Source organism: Homo sapiens, chromosome 2, assembly GCF_000001405.40.
Source record: "Homo sapiens chromosome 2, GRCh38.p14 Primary Assembly".
Taxonomy (NCBI): domain Eukaryota; kingdom Metazoa; phylum Chordata; class Mammalia; order Primates; family Hominidae; genus Homo; species Homo sapiens.
Window position 1 is genome coordinate 106,156,243 of NC_000002.12, and position 18,876 is coordinate 106,175,118.

Sequence of the window (18,876 nt, forward strand, 5' to 3'; positions counted from 1 at the left end):
CTCCAAAGAAGATACAGAAATGACCAATAAGCACACAAAAAGATGCTCAACACCATGAGCTATCAGAGAAATGCAAATCCAAACCACAAAAAGATATCACTTCACACCCAGTAGAAAGGCTACAATCAAAAAGACAGACAATAAGAAGTGGCGTTGAGGATGTAGAGAAACTGGAACACTCATATGCTGCTGGTGGAAATGTACAATGGCGCAGCTGCTCTGGCAAACAGCAGTTCCTCAAAAGGTTAAAGAGAGTCACCCTATGACACATATAACAAACGTACAGTCATCCCTCAGTATCCACAAGGAATTGGTTCCAGGACCGCACCCCACCCCCATACCTAAACGCAAAGATGCTCAGGTTCCGCATATAAAATAGTGTAGTATTTGCATATAACCCACACACATCCGCCTGTATACTTTAAATCATCTCTAGATAATTATAATACCTAATACAATGTAAATGTTATGTAAAAATGTTATACTGTATTGTTTAGGGAATAATAACCTGAAAAAAAGTCTGCACATGTTCAGTACAGCCATAACCATTGTGCACCTAACTACATTTTCGATTCGTGGTTAGCTGAATCCACGGATAAGGAAACCACAGATATGGAGGGCCTACTGTATAAATAAACTGTGGTATATTCATATAACAGATTATTTGGTAATAAAAATATATGAAATACTGATACAAGCTACAACATGAACAAAACCTGAAAACATACTAAGTGAGAAAAGCTAGTCACAAAAGGTCAAATGTTGCATTATCCCACCTATATAAAATACCCAGAATTGGCAAATCTACATGGACAAAAAACAGATTAGTGGTTGCCTAGAGATTGGGGTGTGGAAGGCCTAAGGGGAAAATGGAGAGTGACTGCTAATGGGTATAGGCTTTCCTTGGGGGGGGCCTACAATTGGATGTGGTAATGGTTGCACAACTCTGTGAATACATTAAAAACTACTGAATTATACATTTTAAGGGTGAACTGTATGGTATGTGAATTATATCCCAATAAAGCTGTTACTTTAAAAAAAATGCAACATGAAATCTTTTTGGACATAATTTGTTACCTAATAGTTAAAAGGGTTTCTTTCATTGGTGAGTTTATACTGATGTTTAACAAGAGCACTATTAGCCAAGGATACCCCTGGGTATTCTTCAAAGTGGTCTGTGAGCTAGAAAAGGTTAAAAACCACTGCTCTCAAATTTCATACTTCCTCAAAAAGTTAAACACAGGGTTTCCATACAATCCAGTAATTCCACTCCAAAGTATACCTAAAAGAATGAAAATCCTGTGTCCACACGAAAACTTACACACATGCATTCATAGCAGCATTATTCACGATAGCCTCAAGGTGGAAACAACTCCAAATACCCATCAATTGAGAAACAGGGAAACAGTATGTGGTACACCCATACAATGGAGCATTGTTTAGCCATGAAAAGGAATGAAGTGTACTGATTGATGCTACAGCTGAGTCTTGAAGACAGATCAAATATCACATTATTTCTTTCAGACGAAATGTTCAAAAAAGGCAGATTCATAGAGATAGAGAGTAGTTTTAGTGGTTTCCCAGAGCTGGCGGGAGGGGACTGGGAAATGGAAGTGACTACTAATGAGTACAGGACTCTTTTTTGGGGTGATGAAGAAACTGTGGAATCAGAATGCGGTGCTAACTCTGTGGACATACTATAAGCCACTGAATCGTATCTTTGAGAAGCGTGAATTCTATGATATGTGAATTATCTCTCAACGAAAAAAGAAAGTTTCTTAATATTACAAATACTATTCAGGTGTGCAAACTTACCAAAATTCTTTTCCGATCCTTTTCTGATAAAAACTTTACTGGTGGGTATTTCTGGGTAAAGCTGTATAATATAAAGAGATTCAAAAGGAAAAAGTCAAACATCTCATTTGAATATTTTCTCTGTCTACCATCAAAGCATGTGCCAGGTTTTGGGACTGTTATTGTTTGCTCTTCTCTCCACTCTTGAATGAGTGCTGGAGAAACCAAGGAGTCACTAGTTAACTTGAGGTCAAGAGCTATATAACCTGCTCCTTGTTTAGAATCAAGCTAAAGACGTGACTTGAGATTCTATCTCTGAGAAGCAAAAGCGCAAGGAGCTACCGGCTTCCAGCAGCTGCTAAAGCAGGGCAGGCACTACCTCTATTAGTCCAGATAAAACCACACCATGAGGGAGATGGCCGTGAAACTGCCTTTGCAGAATTGTAATAATGAGAGAAATCTAATATGACTGGCTCCATCTAACCTCACAGGCTCAATTTTTGTTTTTATTGTTTTTGCTTATTTTAGTGCAGAGGCCAATATAACTAGGAGAGGAATTTATAGTTAAACGATGAGGCAAGGAAAACTGACCCCCCTCCTTGTTTCGAGATTGAAGCCACATTCCTAAGCCGAGGTTAGAGTTATGGTAGGGTCTGAACTTTGCTAAAGAATAAGCATAAACAATGACCTGCCAACTGCTTAGCTTAGCTGGCTTTTCTATATGTTGCTTCCTGCCCCAGGGTCACTCAAACAGAGGTCGCAAGATTTGTAACTTCTCCAACAACTTCTACAGATAACATCACTATTGTGAATCCTAAGGAAACGGTATTTGAGGTATCTTTCAGATTTAGCATTTTGGCAGACAGACTAAGAGATGTCACCCGGTCCTCAGACTTGGCTTCCATGAATTGATTCAGCTGCCTGAAGACAGTTTAGACACCCCCATGATTTCACACCCAGCCAATCGTTTCAGCTCCCCAGGCCCCCACCCACCAAACTACCCTTAAAAACTCAAGCCGCCGAGTTCTCAGGGAGGCAGATTTGAGAAACCTCGCCCATTCTCACACGTGGCTGGCCCTGTGATTAAACTCTCTCTTCGCTGTAACACCTGTTGTTCTCAGTGCCTTGGTTTTCTCAGGGCAGTCGGCAAGAAGAGCCCACCGGGCTATAATCATGGCATTCTCTGGGTACTGTATCAGGGTCCAGGTGGAAGAAAGCAGCTTCGTGAAGTCACAGGCCCAACGCATGAGGACCGCTCCACAAGAGCGAGAAGAGATATTAATGAAACTTTGTCTCCTGCTCCAGGAATTTTCACAATCACGGCATCCTCTTCCTGACCAGCGTCCCTGGTAAAACGACTGAGCATCAGCATCTTCTGTCTCTGTGGATCTGCTCTGACCCTAAGTCTCACTTATCTTTTGATACCCTCTTGCTGCCCTAAGGTGCCACTGGTCCCCAGCCCACACTGATGTCCCAGGAGCAGGGCAGTGTGATCTGAATATAAAACGTCCAGTGAGAGGTAATAAACACAGAACTGAAATATTCATTTTAAAAGTTATTCAGTTAGGAACAAAAGTGCTTTAAATAAAATCTGAGACATCAGCTTTATGGTCATTATACTAATTGGAAAGGTGTTGTGCCAGGTGGCACCGTCTCCATCCCTGCCCTGTCCCCAGCACAGACACAGCACTAGGATACAGAATGCACTTCCTTAATGGTCGCTGAACTGAAGGGAATATGAAGGGTCATTAGACAGAAGCCCCTGAAGCAGGGGTTTCTCATCTCCAGAAAGCCCTGAGCGTGCTTAAATTGGAGTGAAAGGGCTTTCTATTACAATGCAGACGAATTCCCCCATTAAGAACTTCCAGGGTCTCAAAAGCTCAAGTTCCCCTTGCAGACTACAAAATCAGATGGGAGAGTCTGAGGGCAAGGGTGGGAACCCTGGGGCTCCCCCTTGTGAGCTCACCGACCGTCTTTAGTACTTGCCGCCCATAGGAAGTGCCTCAGGAAAGTCATCCATGCAGCTGGGGAGCAGGAGCAAGTTCTGCCTTCAGTCAGGAGCGATGCTGTTAGACTGGCGGGAGCGGCACAGATGTCTTGTTTGCCAAGTAACACTTCTTGTCATTCCGCCTCTTCTTCCCTCACCAACTCAGCTAGGGGACGGCACTGTAAATCTCAGAGTTATTTGTGTGCACCTCTCACACCGCTCCAATTGTCCTCATTTCTCTGAGCTCACGATATCCATGTCTTCAGCCTCAGTCCCCAAGTGGCACACCCAGTGCCGTGGCACAGCTGAGACTCTTTCCTTCCCACGACTGCTCATAAGCACCGTGGCTCCTCCGAACTGTCTGTCGTGAAAACGCTGGAGCCGTCTCTGACTCATGACTTCCCCTCACTCACCTTCAGGGCTCCTTCTCTACCGTGTATATGATTTTAGAGTCAAGACCGCTCGGGAATGGGAATATAGCTACATATGGGAAAACGCGGTGCAGGGAGAAAACCAATTCAGTGAGGAGCGGAGGCGCAGGACTGTGGAGTGTGCATCCGGGGCCATGGAAACAAATGTTAATCCAAGCTGTCAGCTTAGAATAGTCCCTATCTGAAAGCTTAAAATGAAATGTGGTGTGCTACTTATACCAAGAGGAAACGGCCAAACCGTTTTATTACAGGAAATGTACTTCAAAGAAATTGAACTGAAGCAAAGGCATGGTTGCCCGACATACGCAGTGACGGGCATAAGATGGACTAAAAAATACTTCAAATGCAGCGTGCTGAAACCTTTAATTTAAAAAACGAAAAATAGGTTGAGTTTCTTGCTTTGTTCTTCTTCAATATGTAGCAGCCAAGTTTTAGATTTCATATGTATACGCTCAAGTAATTAAACTTTTAAAAAACTATCTTATACTCCTCACTTCTTCGAGAAGCCACACATACAAAGCTGAAAAACAGGAAGGGGAGAGTGCCTGTGGGGTCCTCCTCAGTATGCATGTCATCCTGTTTTCCTCCTTGCAGTAATGGGTGACAGAGCACAGTGACTGATAGAGTGCAGTGACCATGTGGGTGCCGTTGGCTGGGCCACATGCTGAGCCAGCTGCCTGGGTGCTCCCAAGCACCTGCTGGACTGACTCAGGGCTGGGCAGGAGCACAAGGCCTTTTTTTTTTTTCCTTTTTTGAGACAAGGTCTTACACTCTGTCACCCCAGATGGAGTGTAGCGGCATAATCACAGCTCACTGCAGCCTTGTATTTCTTGTAGAGATGAGGTTTCATTATGTTGCCCAGGCTGGGCTCGAACTCCTGGGCTCAAGCCATCAGCCTGCCGAGGCTTCCCAAAGTGCTGGTATTACACCGTGCCTGGCCCACAAGGCTTCTTAAAGACCTGTAGCAGGTGAAAATCCTACCCAGTGTACTGGCTCATCCACTTATTCAGGAACTTTCCATTAAGCTCCGTTCTACACTAGGCACTGGGGGTTAAGCAGCAAAATGCAGCAGAGGCATGAGGCCTGCATTCCTAAGCGAGAGAGAAACCAGCAAGCAGAGGCAGAATGAGGTAACAAATCTTTCCTTACAACCCCAAATTAGTCCTTTACTAATCATTAATATTTTATGCCATTCCAGATTAAACTTACTGTTTAGCCAGTAAGCAGTATTCTTACTTAGAATTTAAATTATCATTTGCCATCTATTCAAAGAACATTTAAAGATACAGAGTTAAAATTAAACAAATGGCATATAATCAAAGTATTAAGCAATGGGAGTGTGGTAAAAGAGAAAAAGCCCACATACAATCCATTTACTCAGGATTCTAGAATGACACTGTCTTCTTTCTTTCCCTGTACAAATATAACCTGTAACTTCCAAAAATATCTTTAGTTCTTGGGGGCCACTTTGCTCAAAGTGACAAGCACGTCAAGTAAACCTATTTCCAGTTACATTCTTATCTTGTCAGTGTCAAGATGGTTGTTTGATCATCTTTATCACACACTGAGTCAGGAAAAGTAAGCTAGACGGAGTTCCATCAATTTCCACCGTCACGCTTTTTTAGCCAGGCCTACGCTTGACCTTCTGACACAGTAATGCAGGCACGCGGATCACCTGACTTGCTGACCAACCTGAAGGACGGAACCATTCCAGAATGAGTCACCTGCAAGCAGCCCGAGAGGCAAATGTTTGCCCTTTGCCACTATTTTCAAGGCGGTTTCACAGGTTGACAAGAATAAATTATTAGTAAATTCTTAGGATTGAATTCTTATTTGTGCTTCTCCATCCAGTTTAAAAGCACACACTCAAAGATATCACAAAAGTATCAAAGAGATTGCATAATTCTCACATGTTGAGAGCTCTTGTTTGTAAGCTATTGCCTTAGGGAAGTTATCGAATTGAGACATTTTTCTTTTCATAAATAAATTCTATTGTCTAAAGAAAATAATCACTGGTGGACAAGTTTTTAGACCAATATAGAAAATGTGTGGTGGGTTATTTCTTATTGTTCCAATTTTTCTAAAAAGAAAAAAAAAGCTTCAATTAAGATCTCTCAATTCTGCTGTCTTATCAAAGGCAGATTTTCTGGCTCCCATCCAAGGAAATATTACAAGCTGCATAACTAAAGCACAGAATCATGGCAAAAAAAATTTAAAGCACAAGTAACAACCTTATATTACTAAGGAATCTGTTAAAAATTACTGACAACTTTTGTTCTGATAAGTGCTGAAATTAACAGTTTGCTTGACTGCTCAGTTGAGGATAAGAATCAAGTGAATGACACATTTTGTTTAATGACTCTTCTCCAGTCGTATTTCCCTTCGATCATTTAATGAAAATCAAAGGAAAACTGCTCTTCATTTTTTCATTTTTGTTCTGGACTTGATAAAAGGCTCATTCAATGCTGACACACATCGTCCAAACTCATCCCAATAAGGGGAAAAAATCACATCAACTTTAATAAATGCTGTCATTTTTCTTTCTAAAATTTCTGAAGATTCAACTGCTACTCTAGATAGTTTTCCACATACAGTACGTGCAAGAGGAAAGTCCTGGAGGCTGAGGCTCAGCGGCCTCGGGAGTGCCTGAGAGAGAACCTGAGGGCAATAGTGTCCCAAAGGGTGAGGAGGGGTTCTCTCCGAAATCTGACTCAAATAAACATTTCTATCATATTACATAATTCTTCTGCCCTCTCACTTCACCTGGACTAAATTCTGGAAACCTCCTCATGAACTCTGGTGACAAAAGCAGCTAAATGACTACACATGACACACCATAGGCTCCACATCCTTATTTTGTGGTGTTTGCATATGGTACATTTCAGGCCCACTGGATTGTCCTCCTATTTTGGAATTCTATCCCACTGATCAATATATGCAGAAGTTCAAGGAAAATGTGAGGCCTGGCCTCAACTTCTATGTAATAAATTTGCAGAAATTCAGACGTTCAGAGTTTGAAGAAGGAAGATCTTAACACATCTAGATTGATTCTTCTCCCCATGTTCTATCTGGGTATTACACTCAAAGTGGGGGAAATGCGTATACAGACATTTATTTAGGTTGGCAGAGTTTGGAGCAAACAAACAGAATTAATTACTCAATTGAGACAAACTTATTTTAACTATTGACTTTAAGACAAAAAGTACACATACCTTTTTTCTAAATCTCTGATTTTCTCTCTTAGTGGTTCAACCATCTAGAACAATAATAACAAAAATCAGTTTTAAAGCAAAAACACAGTTCTCAACCCCTTTCACCCCATTCTGATGTTTCAGATAAGGCAAAACAGGTTTTAATTTCTTCTACAAATTAACTTCCAGTTTGAAATTAAGATACACCACTTGCATCACAATGCTAGAATTGAACAGATAAACTGTCCATTTGAACTCTTACTCCATAAATGCCTCGGTTTCTGAGACAATTAATGTTTTTGCTCACCCATCCTACTAGGAAGAATGTAAAAGGTGTTTCAGGCTCATAAAAACAGATCAACACTATCCATCTCTTTTTAGGAACAATCCCCTAAGCATGGCCCACAAAAGCTTAACATCTTGTTTCTGCAATTACTGTGTATACTCATGTTATCAGCTGCAGCACATAAATTGCAGGCTGTGAGTCAACCTACATCCACGTCTGTAGACACTGTGGACTCAGGCAGAAAGACAGCAACTCAAGGGCTTCCCAGGACTCCCTAAGTTGGCTTCAAATCCAAAGTAAGTAACCTCCCATCCCCTCCCCCACAGCCCATGTTACAACGGTCTGGCTGTATCTACATGTATTTAAATAGGAGGTGCATAACTGAGCATAGGTGCTAGCCTTCAGCTGGGTGGGTGTGCAACGTCTCCATCTGTGCACGTGGCCTAGCATCCGATTGGTGGCCATTGTTCTTTTCAGCACCTGTGCCAGTGAGAGGATGTTTGTACTCATCTCTATCTCCCAAAGGCAATCACTTCCCTTTCTCTAAAAAACGCTTACCTGAAAAGTCATGTAAAAGTCTAAATCCATTTTGCCTTTGAGGTAGAATTTGTTTTAATACATCAAAAATGGACCAACAGTAACAGACTGCATGTCCTCTTAAATAAGGGAGTAATTTTTTGAGACACGGTTGCAAAATCACAGAACAGCATCAAGCTGCCACAATAAGAATGACAGCACGAGCAAAGGAAGTAAAATTGACAAGTATACAGATGAAATAGATACAAAAATAGAAAAAAGACTAACCTCTTCAATCTTGCTTTCAATTTTTAGTTCACCATTTTCCTGGATAGACCTGTTGAGTAGAAAGCTATAAAACTGAGATCAACTGAAAGGCTTTGTGACTTTAAGACTGTTTCTGAATAAATTACCCTAACATAACCCAACGGATGCAGACCACCTCTGTCTCCTGCTCAAGTATCAGTCATGTGTACAATTCCCTCCAGAAGGGATGCACCAGAGGAAAAGAAGACAACCAAAGGGAAGGACTCCCCTTAAATCCATCTGTGAACATGCTCAGTATTACCTAATGGATTATTTCCACTAAACTAAAATAATCTCACTGCTATGCTACATCCAACACAGGATTTTAAATTTGAAGCAGGAAGTGCGTCTGTAGGAGTATGTGTTTGTGCCTGCTGGGCTTTCCTGGGGATTTAATGTAAAAATGGAGTCTTTTAAGTAAAACCACAGAGCTCCTTTAAAAGGGATCTGAGCACCCCACCTAGTCATACACAGCAGCCTTTGTCAGGAGACACACACATGCCCTGGTGGTAGGAATCAAATCGACACCATCCCACCCACCTTGCAAAACCCAACTCCACATGAAAAGCCTCCTGAGGGCATAGTAACCTTTTACCCTGGTAGACATGTGCAGCCGCATTACATTACAATACCAACCTAATCATCACAATAGTGATTCTCACAACATAACCAAGTGGAGCAAATTTTCCTTTACATGGAAAACTATTAACAGTACCAAATGGTTTTTACAATAAGTGCTTATTTCTTTTTGCTGATTTTTTTAAAGGCTATTTTTTTTTATTTGGTAAAGAGATAACACGAGTTTTATTTTTACAAGAGTGCCTCCTGCCCTATGAAGAAGCACACACGATGCATACAGGCCTAACGCTGGACTAAATAGGTGGTCTCTGCATCGATACCCACTAGCTGGCCCCCTGAGGTCATGGGCCTGCCATGGCTTCCCGAAGACAGCTCCCTTCTCAGAAGGCTTTGCAAAAGCCCCTCAGTGTTCTTGCTCAATCCACCCAGAAATACAATTTACATAAGCTAGGGTCAACCCTTTATTATCTACACAAGGAGGGAAGCGGGGGTGGCCGACCATTGTTTTACTTGTGGGCCTTACTTGGTAATTGTTAAAATCAGCTGCATTCCTTGAGAATACCCATAGGAGAAAAGAAACAGCTCAGATATGTGAATAGCAAGAACCCACTTTTGTTTTAAAAATATTTTTCAATTAACCCATGACATCCATGGTATATATGTACCAACTGAAATGTGTCTATAAAATCCAACCACAGTACCCAAGTAATTAAAAACAATTACCTCATATTAACGAAGTTGCCCCAAACAGCTGTAAGAGAAAGAAAAAAGGAAGTCAATGTTTAAGTCCACAACTTTCAGGGATTCCAATGGATGGAATCTTAAATTTTAACCAATATTTTAAATTTTACAAAGAAAATTAACTTACGAAGACAACAAAATGCATACTTTGTTTTCAAAACAATTAAATCTTACTACAAAATAAGTAAAAACAGGATCGTAGAGTTTATTCAGGCCAAGTTTGAGAACTGCAACCCAGGAACATCAATTCAAGTTGCCCTGAATATATGCTCCCATCAGCAGCAGTGACAAGTGGGCTTTTAAAGGAAAAGGCAGTTTCTAAGTTATCAAGAATTTACATTAAAATAACATAAGCTACTGATTGGCCATATATTGTTTTTTGTATCAAAAATCCCAGGAAAAAGATAATTGGTTGAGGCAGCTGGGCAGAAACAAAATACCTTTAAAGAACCGGCCCTGGGCATGGCAGGGCATGACTTTAGTTCCGTGCTCATGACTCTCCAGCCTGATAAATTTTGCAAACCTCACATGGCTCACACTGCTCTGAGCTGTTTTTCTTTTCTATCTATCCCTGCAGTTTTGGAATACCTCTTTTGGGGTCTAGAGTTGGACAGTGCAGGTGAAGCTTTTTTTTTTTTTTTTTTCCAAGTGACAGATCTCCCTTTATTACCCAGTCTGGTCTCTAGTGATCCTCTCGCCTCCGCCTCCTGAGTAAGTGGGACTGCAGGCGTACGCCATCACACCTAGCTAAGGATGCATGTGTTTTGATAAACAGTATGTTCTCAACCTTTGTTTGAGGAAGAGCTAGTCACAAAAATCAAATAATCACATGTCTGAAAGAAGTCCTAAGGTTCAGTCTAACCTCTCCCTTGTAATGATGATGAAAGCAAACCCAGAGAGGTTAAACAGTGGCCTGCAGTGCGGCTTAACTCCAACGGGAGTGCCATCCTTTCTCAGCACTTACCACATCTCCCTTCTATACTCTAGGCACCTGGTGGGCAGGCTCTCCTTTGCCTGTATACAGCTGGCCTTCAGTAAATGTGTATAAGTCAGCCCTGAATCAACAGCAGATGACTTTAAAATGTAATACTGGACCATGAGCACTCACTTTAAGTTACTGAGCAGGATTCTTTCTACGGAAGCCTTTCCTGAGCATAGGCGGTCCTAATATTTTGTACACACTCCTATTTGGCCCTCATGTGGCCACTCAGCAGATACTGAAGGCCTTCTAAGTGCCAGGTGCATTTAGGTGCTTCCAGGTGCCGAGGAAGAACAGAGAGATTAAACACAAACGTCCTCCCTGTCCCGGGCTGTTAAATTTGTGAGCTTGGGAAGGCCCTGAGGTTAGGATCTCATAACCCCAGGCATCTTCCCATTGCCATCCTCTTGTGTGTAGTAGGAGTTTAATAGCTACTCATCAAATAGGATTCAGTATCCAAACTACACCCCCACATGAAATTCCCACTCTCAAGAAGGGGAATGTTGCTAATTCCATAGAAGCACATCTCTCTTCAAACAGAGGAGAAAACTTGGTTTAAAAAAAAGACAGCAATATATGACCAAATAAATAAAAGTGGCAAGAAAGCAGGGAAATGGGAGAAATTAAAATAAAGCTATTAACTAGATTCATTATTCATTAAAAAAAATAAAAACTGCTTATGTCAGAGGCACTGGAACCAGAGTAACTCCATCTTGAACAGTAGCTGGGTAAAGTGAGGCTGAGACCTACTGGGCTACATTCCCAGACTGTTAAGGCATTATAAGTCACAGGATGAGATAGGAAGTCACCATAAGATACAGGTCATGGGCCGGGCACTGTGGCTCACACCTGTAATCCCAGCACTTTGGGAGGCAGAGGTAGGCAGATCACCTGAGGTCAAGAGTTCAAGACCAGCCTAACCAACATGGTGAAACCCCATCTCTACTAAAAATACAAAATTAGCTGGGCATGGTGGCGCATGCCTGTAATCCCAGCTACTTGGGAGGCTGAGGCAGGAGAATCACTTGAGCCCTGGAAATGGAGGTTACAGTGGGCTGAGACCACACCATTGCACTCCAGCCTGGGCAACAAGAACAAAACTCCGTCTCAAGAACAAAAAAGATACAGGTCATAAAGACCTTGCTGATAAAATAGGTTGCAGTAAAGAAGCTGACTAAAACCCACCAAAACCAAGATGGCCACAAGAGTGACCTCTGGCCGTCCTCGCTGCTACACTCTTACCAGCGCCATGACAGTTTACAAATGCCATGGCAACGTCAGGAAGTTACCTATATGGTCTAAAAAGAGGAGGTGTGAATAATCCACCCCTTGCTTAGCATATCATCAAGAAATAACCATAAAAATGGGCAATCAGCAGCCCTCAGAACTGACCTCTCTATAGAGTAGCCATTCTTTTAATCCTTCATTTTCTTAATAAACTTGCTTTCACTTTAAGGACTCGCCTTGAATTCTTTCTTGTGGAAGATCCAAGAACCCTCTCTTGGGGTCCGGATCGGGACCCCTTTCCTGTAACACTTATACCTTTGAACCATGTGATTTTGCTTTTATCTTACTCTCAGGAAATCAGTAAACATACAGGAAAAGTGCCCTCACCAATGTCATGGCCTTATTTATAATCACACACACAAAAAAGGAATAAGCCAAAATATCCCATAATTAGAGAATTGCTGTATAAATTGTCATACAGCCATTTGATGAAATCAGAAAGCCATTAAATATGACCACGGAACTACACTGTAACATGATGCAGTTATGACAGTACCAGACGAAAAAGTATATATACAGTGTGACTCTCACTTCTGTAAAATGCATTGGGAAAAAAAGACTGTGAAATTTCCAAAATACTGAGTTTAAATGGTGACATGAGTAACTGTTTAATTTTCCTTGTGGTTAAGTGTTTACTTACTTTTAAAAAAGTTTAGTTACTTTTAAAAAAGGAGGGAAGAGATTTTAACCCTTACTAAACTCTATGTCCTTGTTGTCCTGTTCTTGCCTTTTTCTAGACACCTGGTGAACACCTGGGTCAGTCCTCAGCTCGGACACCACGCACTGCTGCCACCAGAGTCCACAAAGATCACCTGTGAGCCACCAGTTGCCCAACCCATGTGCGCTTTTCTTTACTGTGCTATATATCTCAAATAAGTATACTGTCTCATTTTGGCTACAGGATTAAGCTGCTTTACTGAGAATAAGTATTCCATGCTATGGAAGCATCCATTCTCTTATTGCCTTCTGGGTGGGTAGCACCTTTTGGCAGACTTTTCAAATCATTCCATCGTTATTTGCTTTTTCAGTTTTTTCTTTCAAACCTTTTTTCAACTCACTTTAAAATGTTGATTTCAGGTTGGTGCGGTGGCTTGTGCCTGTAATCCTAATACTTTGGGAGGCCAAGGTAGGCAAATCACTTGAGCTCTGGAGTTTGAGGCCGGCCTGCGCAAACTGGTGAAAACCCCATCTCAAAAAATTAGCCAGGGGTGGTGGCCTGTGCCTTCAGTCCCAGCTACATGGCGGGGGCAGAAGCAGAAAGATCGCTTGAGCCCAGGAGGTTGAGGCTGCAGTGAGCTGAGAAAGCGCCACTACTCCAGCCTGGGTGACAAAAGTGAGACCCTGTCTCAGAAAAAAGAAAAAAAGTTGATTTCACAAAAATCTCTCAATCCTTCTATCCTCAGTCCATTTCACAGCAGTGAAGGCTGCCACCCATCCCAGACACCTTCTGTTTCCTTGACCATGATGTCCTGAGCCCTTTCCCCTTGCCCACTGCTTCTCCTTAATCATCTCTTCCTGGGGAAGCAGGTGACGCCCATGCTTCCCAGGATCAGCCCTGGGGAATGATGTCCAAGCCACAGCCAAAGCTTTACCACCCTTCATAAATGGATAAGAATGGATGTAAGCAGATATGGACCAGATCCACTTCTGTGTCTCAGACCTCTTCCACTGCCCCTGGAGGCTGGAGATGCACCTGGAGACGTGCCCTCTCCTCCCCAGCTGCACCTCCTGATTCATGCTGCAAAGGAGGCTTCATGAATCCCTTCCTTCCCCACTCAGACCTCCACGCTTCGCCACTCAGACCTCCAGAGCAGGCCCCTGCAAGCAGCCCCCTGCATGTGACTCTCCACCTTCCCTAAACCACTTGCTGTCCCCAACCCTTCAGCTCGTCTACAGGTAGTGTCCTGGGCACCTGCACCTCCAAGACTCATCTGAGCATCTGATTCTCCAGAAAGCACCTTCAACCTTCCCTCCTGCTCCAGGAGACACTGGTGGCCCTCCTGTGTGGCCAAGGTCTGCTGCATGTTTTGTTCTAATTGGTACCTTACAGGTGGGTCTCACTGCAAGATGAGGCGTTTTCATATTTACATTTGTTACACCAGGCATACATGGTCCAAGCACTAAAATTCGTTGAATGCATGCCAAGTAATTTTTCCCTTTTCTTACATTTATCTCTTGCTTATTACTTTTTATCTTCAGACGCGCTATAACCAATTAATCTTTACAATGTTTTCATGTCAAGTGTTGTGGCCTCCTTTCAAATTATCAAAAGCTCTACCTGCTTTGCTTGAGAGATAATTCAATACCCAGCCCAGACCAAAGAACAGACACACACACACAGCAAAGCAGGACAAACCCCCACGTTGCTGCACAGATTCCAAAGGGAAAGACACAAGCAATTTCCAACAATTATGAAGCTTTAGTTTTGTGTAGAGTAGCCTGGAAGGTTGCAGGGCATAGACCTTAAAAGTTAAACATTACTTTAAATTAATATTGCTTTTAAGTTTTTGCAACCTGCTTGAGTTATTTTGACCCACCTTACGGTGCTTCAAACAGATAGCTGGGCATTACTAACAGATGCACTCTACAAATATTTGAACTGAATTAAACCCATTTATATAGTACCAGGAATCAATATTAAGTAAAGTAAGTATTTTAAGAAAGATAATTATTCAGTTATTGACAAAGGGCTTATAACTGAATGCTCTTACACAGCTTTCAAGATATTTTAATTTTTAATATAAATTTAAAAAATACTTTGTATGTAAACTGAGGCATATCAGCTTCATAGTTCTCATTATGTTGGTATCCAGACTTCAAGCTATGCAGGGAACCCAGTTCAAGAAAATCTAACTCATAAAAATTTTCATTTAGAGTGAAAAATTGAGTTTTTTAAAGGATATGATTAAAATGAGTGTCCTTTTCCAACAAAGAAAAAATTCAAATGCTAACCCAACACTTTCATAATCTCTGAGTCTAACTTGATTTCTTAAATAGTCATCAGCTATCATGAGATCAATCCTTTTAGAATACAGTCTTCCAATCTGAAGTCTGTGGATCTCCATGGATCCCTGAATGGGTTTCAGGGAGACTAGAGGGGAGTCTCATGTGAAAGCACATGTGAAATTGTGTGTTCACAGGTCTCAAGGTCCTCCAATGAATTCAAGACCCCGAACAAATGAAAAACCATCAATTCAGAATCCATAAAAGCCCGGGATTTTAAGAGGCACATTTGTTTTAGAATAGGGATATAGCCTGAGTCCCTGAATGCCAGGCCACACAGAAAGTACAGATTCTTCACCAGGAATCCAGATCTGGGTAGCAATTTCAATGGCCCTATTTCAAGTAATGTTACAAGGCTGGATCAGGCAAAATCACCATTTCCGTTTTATACCTGTCCATTTTAAATGGCTACAGTATGCTTTAGCATGTTTTTCTCAGTCATTCCGATCACTATTTCAAACTGGAAAGCATATGTACTTTTACACTAAGTCACAGGAAGAAAGTGTGATTTAGGGAGACTGCTCTCCTACCCTACGTTATCTATGTAACACTGTATGTAAGGCACGCCCTTCTTTATAGTATGACATCCTATAAAGCAGCCTGCTGGATGCTCAGTGAAATCAGGCAGCCCCTGGCTGCGGGGTCCTCATGCAGGCTTTGCCTTCTTTCCAATGTTTCCTAAAATCCTTCCTTGCTCCTCCATCCCCCATTCATTCAACAAACTCAGCGCTTGCGGATGCACAAGTTAAGACCCTGCACACATTGCTTTACTGTCCAGAGGCGACATGGGGTCTGTGATGGAAATGCAGCATGTATGGGGAGGACCCCCTGAGAGGGCGTGGAGAACCCTTCCCAAAGGCCTGGCTGGGTGACAAGCAGTGGGGGGCGGGGTGGATCCACCTCAGACTACGGGAAACAGTGTGCCCCCATTCCTGCAATAAAAGGTGGAGCAGCCACCACTGGCTAGATGCTGGAGGACTTACCCCTTTATTGAGACCTAGGCCTCTAGACGGAACCATGCACAGAGAAAGAAAAGGCATGCCCCAAAATAACAGTAACAGAGGCCATCAGTCACAGGGCAAATGCAGGTCTCTTTTTAAAAATTATTTAAACATTTATTTGAGTATCTTCTAGGAGCCAAGCAATGTGTGAGGTCCGGTAGCCAAGGTTCCTAATCCACACTGCCTTTTAGCATTGCAAGGGCTCTGCAGGCCCCAACACTGACAGAGATGGGGCTGGGGGTGGAGCAGTGTGGATCTGATTCTCCCATCTCAACCGATAAAATCTAGGACCTTCCAGGCCACAGGTCTGTACTTCAGACCTGCTGAATCAGAATCTCTACAGAGGCCTCCCAGCAGCTGTATTTTTTAAGTACCCCAGGTGACTGTGACCCCTGGCGAGGGAGGAGGACCTCTACCCTAAGGGATCTGGGGACCTGCTGCCACCACCTATTGCCCATCTCTCTGAATGTTCAGAGTCCAGGCTCAGGCCATCTGCCTCGTCATTCCTCAGACTTGCCACACCTGCCTGCCTCAGGGCCTTTGCACTTACACTTCTCCCAACTGCCTCTTCACCTTTCCCCCTCCCTCAGTTCATCCAAGGTCTCAGCTCAAAAGTTACCTTATAAAAGAGGTCTTCTGACCAATCTATCTGTGAGAGCACCCACCCCCCAACAGCCCACTTAGCCTTTCTTTTTCTTCACAGCACTTATCACCAGCTAATATACCTATTTATATCTGTTTATTGCCTGTTTGTGCCCAATAAAAAAATGTAAGCTCCACAGCAGCAACAATTTTGTTTTGTTCAGTGCTGTTATCTAGGGTACTGAGACAGACGAACATAGTATGTGCTCCCTAAATATTTGCTGAAAGCCTGACTAAAAAGCTCCCCCAAATGACTGGGAATTGCTACTCTAGGGCAGAAGTCAGAAAACTGTAGGCTGGGTGTGGTGGCTGATGCCTGTAATCCCAGCACTTTGGGAGTGTGGACTGCTTTAGCCCAGGAGTTTGAGACCAGCATGAGTAACATGGTGAAATCCTGTCTCTACAAAAAAATACAAAAATTAGCTGGGCATGGTGGCACACACCTGTGGTCCCTGCTACTCAGGAAGCTGAGGTGGGAGAATCGCTTGAGCCCAGGAGGTTGAGGCTGCAGTGAGCCATAATCACACTGCTGCACCCCAGCCCAGGCAACAAAGTGAGACTCTGTCTCAAAAAAAAAATTAAAAACCCACAAAACTCTATTAAAAGAGCCAGAATAGCAAATATTGCAGTTTTGTGGGACATCTCTGTCCCAGCTATTCAACTCTACCACTGGAGAGTGAACACAGCTGAAGATAATTTGTAAAAGCATGGCTGTGCTCCCACACAACTTTATTGAAGGACACAGAAATGTGCATTTTATACAATTTTCAGGTGCTGTGAACTAGTATTCTTTTTGACTTTTTTCAACCATTTAAGAATTGTTAAAACTTTCTAGCTCTTGGATCTTACAAAAACTAGCACTGGGCTGGATATGGCCCATGGGCCACAGTTTGCTGACCTCTGCTCTAAGGGATACCAGAATGACTAAGGTGATTCCAGTCCAAGGAGTTCTTGTCCTTGAAGGAAAATGGTCAGCAGCCACCTATATATAATGCACCCTGGAGAAGTAAAGGCTGCAGTCACCTGAGTCCTGGGGAGTAGCGTGAAGATGGCTGTGGGATGACTTACGGACGGAGAAGGAGATTCTGGTGGAGGAAGAGGATTGGGGGGGGCGGGGGCGGGATGGCAATGCCAGCAGAGGCCCCTGGGGAGGGGAAGATGCAGCAGCAAGGTCAAGATGGGCAGGATGGTTGTTTTCATAACAAGCCCCAGGAGATTCTGTTCATGAACCAAATATGGGCACCACTGTGTTCCCTTTTATATTATTCCAAGAAAGCTGGGCTCCGGACAGCAGGCAATGAACAGCTGTTCAGAGCATGAAGAGACAGTGAGGTGCTGTAGTCTGAGCAAATCTGGAAGCAGCGGTGTGAGAGACAAATGGACGAGGGAGGAGGTGAACAGAGAGTAAATAATGCAGAGGGCAGAGCCCACCGGTCCTGAGGGTGAGGACAGTAATGTCACAAGATAAGAGCACCAGAGGCAGATAGTTGGGGCAGAGGAGGATGGTCTGAGATAAGTACATGCTTAGCTCAGGGCATCCTGTAGCAACCCACATGAAGATGTCTCACAGGCAAATAGAACCTGAGGGCTGGGGCTTGAAGGCCCGCATCAGCCAGAGGTGCAACCCAGGGCCTGTGTGGGGCGCACGTAGTGAGAGGCCACAGCCCTGGGGAGGGCCTAGTAACAGAACCAAGGCACGTGCCCAGTAAGAGTGGCAATGCCAGCATCACTGCTGCTTACTGAGCACCTACTCCACGTGGGCCTTTTATGTTGGTTCTAATCACAGCGTCATGGTATCACCACCATCCCACAGCGGAAGACAGGCCCCAAGAGGTAGCCGGTGACTTGCTTGAGGACACACAGCTAGCGCCCACCCATCCCTGGGCCACCCTTCCAAAAGTTAGGCCTCAGTCCAAGGCCTGCATGACCTGTCAAGGGCTCCAGATTCCTTCCCATCTGCATGGAAGAAACGCATCTTGTTCATTTCCAAACACATCCTCTAAGCTAATCCCCCATCCTCAATGCCACGTGGCACATGCTCAAACAAAAACTGAGTGACATCAACCTCCATGAAATCCTCAGTGGGGCAGCGAAGCCTCCTGGAATGTGAAAGATGCCCCCCATTTCAGGAGA

At 43.2% G+C, this 18,876-nt stretch overlaps 1 protein-coding gene across 14 annotated transcripts in view, besides 3 other annotated features; it reads right to left on the minus strand.

Moving 5' to 3' along the window:
- UXS1 (UDP-glucuronate decarboxylase 1) overlaps positions 1 to 18,876 on the minus strand; it is a 100,991-nt gene that overhangs the window by 62,932 nt on the left and 19,183 nt on the right. For 5 of the 14 annotated variants that reach the window (NR_165308.1, NM_001377504.1, NM_001377507.1 and 2 more), the window contains exons 2-5: positions 9,814 to 9,841; positions 8,494 to 8,557; positions 7,425 to 7,468; positions 1,816 to 1,876 (exon numbers count right to left, since the gene is read on the minus strand). Coding sequence is in view for 10 of the 14 variants with exons in the window: in NM_001377504.1 (NP_001364433.1) it covers positions 1,816 to 1,876; positions 7,425 to 7,468; positions 8,494 to 8,557; positions 9,814 to 9,841 (197 nt within the window). In the remaining 4 variants the exon portion in view is untranslated. Of the gene's footprint in view, positions 1 to 1,815; positions 1,877 to 2,902; positions 3,141 to 3,760; positions 4,396 to 7,424; positions 7,469 to 8,493; positions 8,558 to 9,813; positions 9,842 to 18,876 lie in introns of those variants that run through there. The other 9 variants (NM_001377505.1, NM_001377508.1, NM_025076.5 and 6 more) reach the window with 5 other exon arrangements.
- Positions 4,936 to 4,995: an enhancer, noted in NCBI's record as "active region_16337". NCBI's record gives its function as "activates an Ori minimal core promoter by ATAC-STARR-seq in GM12878 lymphoblastoid cells {active_cell/tissue: GM12878}" and the evidence as "EXISTENCE:reporter gene assay evidence [ECO:0000049][PMID:35858748]".
- Positions 5,006 to 5,095: an enhancer, noted in NCBI's record as "active region_16338". NCBI's record gives its function as "activates an Ori minimal core promoter by ATAC-STARR-seq in GM12878 lymphoblastoid cells {active_cell/tissue: GM12878}" and the evidence as "EXISTENCE:reporter gene assay evidence [ECO:0000049][PMID:35858748]".
- Positions 8,829 to 9,348: an enhancer, noted in NCBI's record as "NANOG-H3K27ac hESC enhancer chr2:106781527-106782046 (GRCh37/hg19 assembly coordinates)". NCBI's record gives its function as "activates a minimal SCP1, AML or CMV promoter by ChIP-STARR-seq in primed H9 embryonic stem cells {active_cell/tissue: H9 hESC(primed)}" and the evidence as "EXISTENCE:reporter gene assay evidence [ECO:0000049][PMID:30033119]".